Source organism: Homo sapiens, chromosome 12, assembly GCF_000001405.40.
Source record: "Homo sapiens chromosome 12, GRCh38.p14 Primary Assembly".
NCBI lineage: Eukaryota > Metazoa > Chordata > Mammalia > Primates > Hominidae > Homo > Homo sapiens.
The window spans coordinates 127,341,955-127,353,853 of NC_000012.12; positions in this window are offsets into that span (position 1 = coordinate 127,341,955).

Below are 11,899 nucleotides of genomic sequence, written 5' to 3' on the forward strand. Positions count from 1 at the left end.
TGACTTCGAGTTGCCATTGCCCTGCCTTTCCAGATCTAACCAATGTACATCTTCTAGGTATTGATTGATGTATTATGCCTCCCTAAAAAGCATAAAAGCAAGCCGTACCTCGCCAACCTTAGGCACTGGGAGCATCCCTAACTTTGGCAAAATAAACTTTCTAAATTGATTGAGATCTGTCTCAGATACTTTTGAGTTCACAAATGCTGATATTCTCTTCATATCACCACAGTTTTCATTTTTCCAAATTCACACTTTCTCCCTTCCCTATATCCCAATCCACAGAATTTCCTCAGTCCACACTTTTCTTGCAGAAGCTCCATAAGATCCTTGCTATCTGTGGAGTATCCTCCTTGGGGATTGCTCGGCATTTCCTGAACTGACATGAGTGAAAATTCCACAGACTGGGGAGTGCTCCAAAAGGTGCTACTGAGGGTTCACACTGTCCTCAATGACCTGGCATATCACAAAGTCAACGCTAAGGAAAGCACATCTTTGAGGATGAGTCCATTCCTCGAGGAGTCCTGGCAACATGCATCATTAATATGGGCAGTACACCTTGGAAAACTACAATACATCTGATTTATTAAGTCCCCTCAATTTATACAGGCCAGGAGTTGAACAGAACCTGGACCTAGAATGGTGATGAAGCAGCCTCCATGTTTGGTGATTTGCAAACTCAGTATGTTCTCCTGGAGATCAAGCTTCAGTTTTCTGTCAAGAAATTCCCATATTCAGGTAGCTACAACAGTGACCATGCAGCACATAACTCCTGTTTTCCAAAGTGACGTATCTGTCAGGTTGGGGAGAGGGTATTCAGTATGTTTCTGTAGAATGGAGACAATTAAGTACAGTGCATAATGGAATCCAACTCTCCAAGAGCTTGGATTTGCCTCTCTTAGGGTGGAATCTCGAGGGCAAGAGATTGAGGTCTCTACCTTGTGGGGCTCCACACCAGGCTCTCTGGAGAGGACCTGCAGAGGCAAGTCATTTGTTTGGTCCATAGTAGCATCAGCCTGCAGATACAGTCTTTCTCTAAACACCACAATTCTTGGCTCCTTTGGTAATAATGAATGCTATGGCAACGCTAAATAATGAATATCGTCAGAGGCAACCGAGGAAAATGAGTCATCAATTTTATTTTGTTCCTGAGCAGATGATTGCCTGTGACTTGGCTCAGACCGTTTTAAACTCCAAATATTTAAGGCCCTTGATTTGTTTAATTAAACCTGCCAGGAGCCTCAGCACAGGGCTGCATAAAGTTGTTAAGCTATTTCGCCTTCTATCTCAGGAAAAATTAACTTCCCAAGCCCAGGAAACAGACTGTATAAAATTTCTGTTTCCTCAGGATTATTATCATTATTATTTTAAAAATTATACTTCACAGAAACAGCATTGTTTCTTTATGGAAACCATATCTGGCTTAAGGCACAGCCTCCCTGGAAGCCTTCACCAAGCTGTGATCTAAAACATGAACAAATCAACTGCTCTCAGATCTGCTCTACCATGGGAGAATACCCTAAAGGCTTTTCTGCCTACCATGAAGTTCTTAAGACTGAAACCAAGTTTCACTGAACCTCTAAACAGGAGCCAGTGGAATGGCATGAAGGACTTAGCTTAGCATTATTGTATTTATCTAAAATGAATGAATAGATTGAACCTGGAGGTTCTCTTAGCAACTTAAAGGAGAAAAGATGATTCTAAAATTTTAAATCCTTTCTCCATGAGGTCTTTGTTAGAAAAAAAAGAAAATAGGTGGGAACACTAAATTGGGTTGTTCAGACACCTGCAAAGAACAAGAAAACAAAAATGGGATGATTTCTGGCTGAATTTAGGACCATAAATCCAGCTAATTGGAATAATAATAAAAAAAAGCAGCAGAAATGTACCATGGCTCAATTTCCTCAATTTTGATTAACCTAATATAAGGATTAACCAGTGGATAATATTATATTAGGTTAGTTGTCACATGGATGAATGTTTTTTAATAGTCATTGAGTTTCATGCATATAGGGAGTGAGGGAAGGAAGGAACATAGAAGGGAGGGAGGGAATTCTTTTTGCTGGAGATTAAAGGTCAGGGATTCCCCTTTCAAGGGAGAGGGAAGCAGCATCGCCTGCTGCAGCCGCCTGCTGATTCCAGGGAGTCTCTGCGGTCAGCTGTTTCCTCCTTCATGAGGTCATTCTGGTTTCCAGCCCTTTAGAGCATGGGATGCTCAGTCAGAACCACACCTTGGAGACAAAAGAAGGAACGACAAAAAGCTCTGAACACTTAGGACTTCTGTAGATAAATCTCCCCTTACCTTAATGACATCTTCATTGGCAGACTTGCATTCCACAGACTCAGACACATAGACCACAGAACCATCCTCCTGGACCCTCACGACTTTGACAGGAACTGAAACAGGCTTTCCAGTGAGAATGGCAGTGTTCAAAACCTCAGTGTCCTAAACAGGAGAGGAGAGGGCTCAGATCAGCAAATGCGCACACCACCGGGGCAAGAGGGAGAGGGGTGTCCACCAAGCTCCCTACTGCCTTCATTCTCATTCTGTAATTTAGACAGTTGTCCAGAGGGATGAAGCCACGAAGCACACACAAAATGGAAGTTTCCAAACAATTGGATGGCATTCCATCCCAGACTGAGATATCAAACCTGATGGTTGGTTGGAATGTCTTCTCAGTACCCAGGTGCAGGGTCATTCTCCCTCTCCCTGACCTCCTCTCCCTTACTCCACCCCCCGCCGCCCTCTGTCTCACAGACTCACACATAGCACACGAGTTCCTTTCAGTATTTTCAAATCTTGGCTCAAGGATCATTTGGGAAGTGACTACCTATTTTCTGGACTTATTAACATAGTGAACATAGACTTCATTGTGTTTTTAAATTAGGAAAGACAACAGCAGAAACAACAAAAGAGCACTAGTCGAACATTACAAATCTCTGCACACCCAAGCTGACTGCCACACCCCATCTCCTTGACACCTCCAGAACCCCCAGAGATCTCCCTCCAAACCCAGGTACTTCTACATACAAAGTGGTTAGTTTATTTCTTCCTCTGATGATCTCTTCGGGGTTCTGTAGTTTTTATCATGATAATTTATCTCAAATCTGTCTACATCCTTCATCCACTCTACCAACTCCCACATTAAGCCATAATCTCTCACGTGGACAACTGATTTCTCTGTGTCTCCTTACAACCAAGATGTTCTTTTAAATATTTACATATATACATACATACATACATATATATACACACACATATATATACATATATATATATAATTCAGATTATTTATTTTAGCTGAAAACAAGTTAAAAGCATTCAGCTTCTCATAAGGTAAAATCCAAACCTGCTGACATGGAGTGATGCATCCTCAGCCCCCCTCTCTAGCTCTGTCTTGCTCCCTTCTCTCTGTCCATCACTGCAGTCTTCTTAGTTCTTCCAACAGCACAATCTAAATTCTGTCTTCTGAGCCTTCAAATGCAGAGCCCTCCACCTAAACACACCTGGCTGTGCTTTCATCCTTCAGATCTCTGCATGTATGTCCACTGCTCAGGAAAAGGACGTGTCTGTCTGCTCTTGGTGTGAGTTAAGACACTCTTATTACTAGGTTTCAAGGTATTTCCCTGCATGGTTGTTACCAAAATTATAATTATATAATAACTTTTATGTTTATGATATTTACCATTTAGACACAATAGACTCTACACTCCACAAGGGCATGAGACATCTCTGTGCTGAAAACCCAGGATGATATCTGGTGTGTGAAAAGCAGAGCAGTAGACAGGGCACATGTATGGGCTCTGGGAATGAGAACGCCTGGTTTTGAAATCAGCCTGCCCTCTGTTTCAGTGAAGATTGTGTGTATGTGTGTTGGGGGTTGGGGGATGAACATAAGAGATTACATTTTGGCCTGTGTTCTCTGCATTCTTGTGCCCTTTGCTTCTCCTGATTCTGGTGACCCTGTTGATTTACATGTCCAAGCCCTGACAGTAAATCACAATTATAAAAGCGTTTTCTCTAACTCCTTCTTTGTGCTTTACAATGACCACTTCAGCAAAGCTCTGCTTAACTACAACTGTTATTTTGTTACCTTAAATAAGTTTACTTATATGGCTAAATTAAAATTTAATAAAGCTTCAAGTTGCCACAGAACCAGCAAGCAAATGACAGCTGTTCAATAAATTTAAAACCTAAACCTGATTAGATGGCCACATTGAGAGAAATACTCCAGAGGAAAAGCATAGAACTATTGAAACTCAAGTCCACGTTAATGCCTTATTTAAACATGAATAAACTCTTTTGTGGGGTTTTGCTGTGAATTGGCTGGTGCCTTGGTGACTGCAGTGAGCAGTGAGAGTCTTAGCTGTAGGCTCCGGCTGCCTCCCAGTCCTTTGGTCAGGCCCCATGGATGGACAGATGAATGGATGGATGGATAGATGGAGACGGAGAGAGGCAGAGCAGAGCAAGATGGAAGGAAAACCAAAGCAGAAAAACAGATGAAGAAGGAGGAAGGTATCGGGGAACCCACCCCCAATATTTCAACGTAGGTTCTTTCTATTTTCCATAAGTGTCAGCCAGCTGAGAAATAAAGAGAAAGAGTACAAAGAGAGGAATTTTGCAGCTGGGCCACCGGGGGTGACATTGCATATCGGTAGGACCATGATGCCCATCCGAGCCTCAAAACCAGCAGGTTTTTATTAAGGATTTCAAAAGGGGAGAGGGTGTACAAACAGAGAGTATGTCACAAAGATCACATGCGTCAAAGGGCAAAAAGCAGAACAAAGATCAAGATCACATGCTTCTGAGGAAATAGGACAAAGGGCAAAGGCAGACTCCTGATAAGGGTCTATGTTCAGTGGTGCACATATTGTCTTGATAAACATCTTAACAAAAAACAGGGTTCGAGAGCAGAGAACCGGTCTGACCAAAAATTTACCAGGATGGAGTTTCCCAATCCTAATAAGGCTGAGGGTACTACAGGAGACCAGGGCGTATCTCAGTCCTTATCTCAACCGCATAAGACAGACACACCCAGAGCGGCCGTTTATAGACCTCCCTCCAGGAGTGCATTCCTTTCCCAGAGTATTAATATTAATTTTCCTTGCTAGGAAAAGAATTTAGCAATATCTTCCCTACTTGCACGTCCATTTATAGGCTCTCTGCAAGAAGAAAAATATGGCTCTTTTTGCCTGACCCCACAGGCAGTCAGACCTTATGGTTGCCTTCCCTTGTTCTCTAAAAATCGCTGTTATTCTGTTCTTTTTCAAGGTGCACTGATTTCATATTGTTCAAACACACATGTTTTACAATCAATTTGTACAGTTAACACAATTATAGTGGTCCTGAGGTGACATACATCTTCAGCTTATGCAGATAACAGGATTAAGAAATTAAAGTAGGACAGGCGTAAGAAATTATAAGAGTATTATTTGGGAAGTGGTAAATGTCCATGGAATCTTCACAATTTATGTTCCTCTGCTGCGGCTCCAGCCAGTCCCTCCATTCGGGGTCCCTGACTTCCCACAATAGGGAAGGAGAAGGGGTGAGAGAGAGAAAGCAGATATCCGTATAAAGAGACCATATAAGCTTAAATGATTCAGAAATGGACAATCAGAGAGAGAGAGAGAGAGAAAGAGAGAGAGAGAACAGCTGGGAAATAAACTGAGGAAAAGCATAAGGATAGAGACACTTAGTGAGAAGGAAATGGAGAAAGTCAGAGAGCTACGCAGGCAGCGACAGGGAGGCAGCCAGGCTGAAAATGGCAGGTGGAAAATCAGAGGTAGCAAGCAAACAAGAACAAAGAAATGGAGAGAAAGGTCTTGACATCTCACAAGTCAGAGACCTCGGTGCTCTGAAAAAATTGAATAGCCTTTGGCTTCATGAAAGGAATGCAGGTGCAGTCAAAGCCTATTGATGGGTGTGTTCTGTGATTGTTCAGCTGAAGCTGAGGTAGCTCCGGCCCATTACTGAGGCTCCTCTTCATAATGACAGGACACTGGGAAGAGCAACCCCCCAAACGAGGAGCACCTCAGGGATTTGCTACAATGTCATATCCACCGAGATTTTCTGTTGGCCACAGACTCAGGGGGCTAATCTGTCTCATAAACATAGATGCAAAAGTCCTCAACAAAATGTTAACCAAATCCACAAAGTATAAAAAGAATTATACATCACAGCCAAGGGGAATTAATCCTAGGTATGCTTGTCTGGTTCAACATTAAAAAATCAATTAATGTAATACATTACAATAGGTTAAAAAAGAAAAAATATCACATGCTTATAGCAACAGATGCAGAAAAGGCATATGAAAAAATTCAACACTCGTTCATAATTTGCATACAAACACAAAAATACTGTTGGTATACTAGGAATAGAGGGGGATTTCCTCAACTCAATAAAGAATATATACATAAAACCTATAGCTAACATTATACTTAATAGTGAGAAACCAGAAGCTTTCCCCCTAAGATCAGGAACAAGGCAAGGATGCACACCCTCACCACTGCTTTTCAGTTTCATACTGGAATTTCTAGCTAGCACAGTACGAAAAGAAAATGAAATAAAGGAAATCAGATTGGGAAGGAAGAAGTTAAACTTTGTTTACAGATGACACAATTATCTATGTAGAAAATCTGAAAGAATCAACCAAAAGTGAACAAAAAAGAATACTGGAACTAATAGGCAATTATAATAACGTTGCAGGATATAAGGTTAATATACAAGTTTCAGTAAGTTTCCTACAAACCAGCAGTGAACAGGTGGAATGTGAAATTAAAAACATAATACTATTTGCATTAGCACCCCAAAAAATGTAATACTTGGGTACAAATCTAACAAGATATGTATGAGATCTTTATGAGGAAAACTGCAAAATTTTGATGAAAAAAAGAACTACATCAATGGAGAGATATTTCATGTTCATGTACAGAAAGATTCAGTATTGTCAGGATGTCAGTTCTTCTCAACTTGATTTGTAGATTTAATGTAATCCCAATCAAAATGCCAGCAAGTTATTTTGAGGATATCCACAAATTGATGCTAAAGTTTACATGGAGAGGCAAAAGACCCAAAATAGTTAACACAATATTGAAGGAAAAGAATAAAGTTGGAGAACTGACAATACTTGACCTCAAGGGTTAATATAAAGCTACAGTAATCAAGATAGTGTGGTATTGGCAAAATAATAGACAAATAGATCAATAGAACAGATCAGATACCCAATAAATGGATACACATCAATATAGTCAACTGATCTATGACAAACAAGCAAAGGAAATACCATTAAAAATGATAGTCTTTTCAATAAAAGTTGCTCGAACAACTGAGCATCCACATGCAAAAAATGAATCCAGACACAGACTTTACACCCTTTTTAAAATTAACTCAAGATGAATCACAGACCTAAATATAAAATCCAAACGTATAAAGTTCCTAGAAGGTAACACAGAAGAAAATCAACATAATGTTGGGTTTGCCTATGACTTTTTATATATAACACCAAAGGAATGATCCAAGAAAGAAAAAGTTAATAAAATAGACTTTATTAAATTTTTTTTAAAAATCTGTTCTGTGAAAGACACTGTTACGGGAATAAAATAATAAGCCACAGACTGGGAGAGAATATTTGCAAAATGCCTGTATGAAAAAATATTATTGCACAAATTATACAAAGAACTATTAAAACTCAAGGATAAGAAAACAACCCAATTAGAAAATGGGCCCAATATCTTAAAAGACACCTCACCAGAGAGGATATACTTATGTCAAATAAGCACATGAAAAGATTTTCCACATCACATGTCATCAGGGAAATGAAAGCAAAAGCAACAATTAGATACCACTTCACACCTATTAGAATAGCAAAAATCCAAAACACTGGCAACACCAAATACTGGTGAGGATGTGGGGCAATAGGAACTCTCATTTATTGCTAGTGGGAATGAAAATGGTACAGCCACTTTGGAAGAGAGTTTTGTGGTTTCTTACAAAGCTAAACATTTTCTTATCATATAACCCAGCAGTTGTGCCTCTTGGCATTTACCCAAAGGAGTTGAAAATGTACGTCACAGAAAAACCTACAGGGATGTTTATGGCAGCTTAATTCATAATTGCCCAAACTTGGAAGCAATCAAGGTGTCCTTTGGTAGGTGAAGGGACAAATAAACTGGTATATCCGGACAATGATAATGAGCACTAAAAGGAAATGAACTGTGAAGCCATGTCTCCAAGTATGGACGAAACGATGCATATTACTAAGTGAAAGAAGCTAGCCTGGAAAAGCTACATAACATACAGTTCCAAATATATGATGTTCTGGAAAAGGCAAAACTATGGAGACAGTAAAGAGATCAGTGGTTGCCAGGGGTTTCAAAAAGGAAGGGATGAAGAGGATGAGCATAGAGGATTTTTAGGGCAATGAAAATTAATACAACTCTCATTTCCTTTCCTGAATCATAGTACTTATTAGCCTATAAATCTTAGGAGGACTCAGAGCTTTTGCATTAGTCCATTTCACGCTGCTGATAAAGACATATCAGAGACTGGGTAATTTACAAAAGAAAGAAGTTTAATTGGACTCACAGGTTCACGCAGCTGGGGAGGCCTCACAATCATGGCAGAAGGCAAGGAGAAGCAAGTCACATTTTACATGGATGGCAAGAGGCAAAAAGAGCTTGTGCAGAGGAACTCCTCTTTTTAGAACCATCAGATCTCATGAGACTTACTCACTATCAGGAGAACAGCACAGGAAAGACTTGCCGCCATGAGACAATTGCCTCCCACTGGGTCCCTGCCATAACACGTGGGGATTCAAGTTGAGATATGGGTGGCGACACAGCCAAACCATATCAGCTTTCATTTGTGCCTTTGAAAAGTTAGTCCAGAAAATAATATTAGCCCGTTTTCATGGGAAATGAGAGTGTTAACTTTGCTGTTCCAACAAGTACTTCTCTCCAATCCAATGCTGTCAAAGGCACTTCTCTGGGATGTGCCATTGGCTAAAAAGTAGGGTGGAAAGGGATTGATGGTCCGAGACAGCAATTTATAACACCCTGCCAGGCCATCCACGATGTTGGGATGGATGGTGACTCTGCCAGCTGCTGGGACAGAATGAAAATGAGAATATTTATGCCGACATGGGAGCAGGAACCCAAATGCAGCTAAGTGATTTCTTCTCAGGTAACTTCCTGTGCAAGGGGGCACCCATTGAGCAGTGTGGACTTTTGATTTGAGCTAATACTATTACCAGTAGGGGGAAAAACCCATCCTCTTACTTGATACTTGAATTTAAGGAGTTGCTTTCGATATCAGGAGGCAGAAGAAGCATGACTGAAGGTTAGAGAGTTACTGTACTCAGTGATTTAGACGGTAACGTTCAGGGTTCTTTCTCACTGATGTCCAGAGCTGATGTAATTTCAACATTTATTTGTTTTGATAAATTTTTGAAATTATTTTTGAATGGTCAGAATCCCAAACAGAGAGAGGAAAGAGTGACTTATTAAAAATTTCAAGGAAGATGAACACTGGCTATGCTCAGACACCTAAGGTCAGATAAACACTGGCCCTAAATCTGCTCTCTCTTCTGTCCAGGGAACTTGACCCCTGACCCGGCTCTGACTACTTCCAGGTGGAGCTGACCCCATCCCCAGCTCCTGAGATGCAGTTGGAGACCCAAGCCAGCAGCCAATCAGCACCTGGCATTCCTTGGGCCCCAGTGATTGGTTCATGGTCTGGCACATGACCACAGCTGGACCAATCAGATGGGGCTTCCTGTAGCTGGGAAAGCACAGCGTCCCTGACCCCAGGTCCTCGGTAAGCCCCAGGTCTGACGCTGGCAGCGGCCTCTGACTTGGGAGTGACTTCCTCACATCAAGAAGCGGGAGCCCAGAGAGGCTGGCAGTGCCAGGTTCAAACTTAGAGCCATGGGCTCCCAGTCCTTTCAACTGGGTTCTTTCTCACACGTGGAGCCGCCTACAGGTTCCTGTGTCATCTAATTTTCAGGTGGACTCGGGAACAAGGACGGGCTGAATTCAGCTACCGCCTCATTTAATGTGGAGCCGTCATTCAGGACGTGTGTCTCCATCGGAGACAAAGCCAGCCTTCCTGTGCGTGGCATAGCGGGAGCCCCAGTCTACATAACTGACTCCAGCAATTTCCTCTCCTAACCACACCTGCCACTCTCCTCCCTACCCTGAAAGTAATAGGACTCAGCTTCCACAGCCACCACGCCGTTCACACCACCTTTATGTCAAGAGGGTCACAGCATCCCAGGGAGGTCAGCAGGGAAGGTCCCAGCATCCCCATCACACAGAGGAGGAAGCTGAGGCCAGGAGGGCGTCTGGCCGGTTCAAGATTACAAAATCTTCCCAGGGCAAGAACCTGCATCTTCTCTATTCTAGGTAAATATTTCTGTTGGGGAATTATTATTATTTCTCTTAATAAAAAGTAAGACGTACTGTTTCCCAACACTGCACCTGCGCTACAGCACTGCAGCAAAGGGAACAAACTTTAGGATCATTCTTGACCTAGAATTCTGGGCCTACCACTAACCAGGTGACCTTGTGTGAGATGCCATTTTATTACTTGAAAATAGGGCTTATATTCTTACAGTAGTGTCAGGATGGAATGCCAGAGTCTACGTAAACTCAGACACACTATCCTTGTCCTTCTGAGCCTTTACATTTGCAGTTCCCTCTACCTGGCACCCTCTACCCTCAGATCTCGGCATGCCTCGTCCCTCTTTTGTGCAGGTTTCAGCACCAACACCACTTCCTCTGACAGGTCTTCCCAGATCCTTTCTCTAGAGTCCTTCAGCCCACCCACACCCAGCCATCTCTCTACTCCCTTACCTCCTTTTTTTCATGACGTCTGTCCCCATCTCATTGCCAGACTTAAATCACATCGATTTTTCTGCATGATTGTCTGTCTCCTCCACTAGAATGTCAGCTTTGTGGGGCTAGGGCCAGCTCCCTTCCTCCCTCCTCCCGTTCACCACTGTATGCCCAGTACTTAGTGTCTGGCATGTAGTAGATGCATAGCAAAGATTAGTTGAAAGTTTGAATTCATGAACTAATGAACTGCTTAACAGAGTTACTGGCCTCGAGTACATTTTCAACAAGTGGTAATAGTTATTATAAGTAATAATACTACTTTGCCTCTTCCTCAGAGGAAGAGGTCTTAGTCCTGGTAAAATATATAGGGACCCACTTATGTTAAATGGTTCCTGTTCACCCACCATGTCTCTGCAGCAGTAGGCAGCCCTGGCCTGTACTTGAGAAGTTAGTAGTACTCTCTAAACTGAGCTCCATCTTGGCAGGTAACCCACAAGCTTCCTAAGGACCTTTGCATGAGAGGGGCACTAGGTAGCTTTGGCTTTTCACATCCTGTGCCCTAATGACACAGAGATAGTCCCAAGCTTCTCAGGACCCTCTTGCCTTGCAGCCAGCAATTGCATATTCCAAACTGCCCTGGGTAAGCACCATCATCCACTGTTCTACAGTGCTATTTAGGACCCAGAACGAGTGGCCTCATCCACAACTGGGGAGGGCCTGCACGGGTCTTTCATGTGCATCATCTGACACTGTTGATGAGGGCATCATTCTCTAATCCAGCTATCCCCTGCTCCCTGTGCTTAGGGAAATGAATTTCAAAGCCAGGACTGCTGGTGGCTTCCTCATAAATGGGCAGTTCCAGGCTCTGGGCCATTCTTGGTCCTGAGAAGCCACAACAGTGACCAACCTATATTCTTTGGTTCCAGACCTTAATGAACTGTCAGGATTTAGAAAGCCCACATATTCACGGAAGAGCAGATATCATTTTCTGGGTGGTTAAGTGGGCCCGCCAGAGTATCCTTGTTTTCACTAAACTACTACTAACGTCAAAAGAGCCTGAATCTTT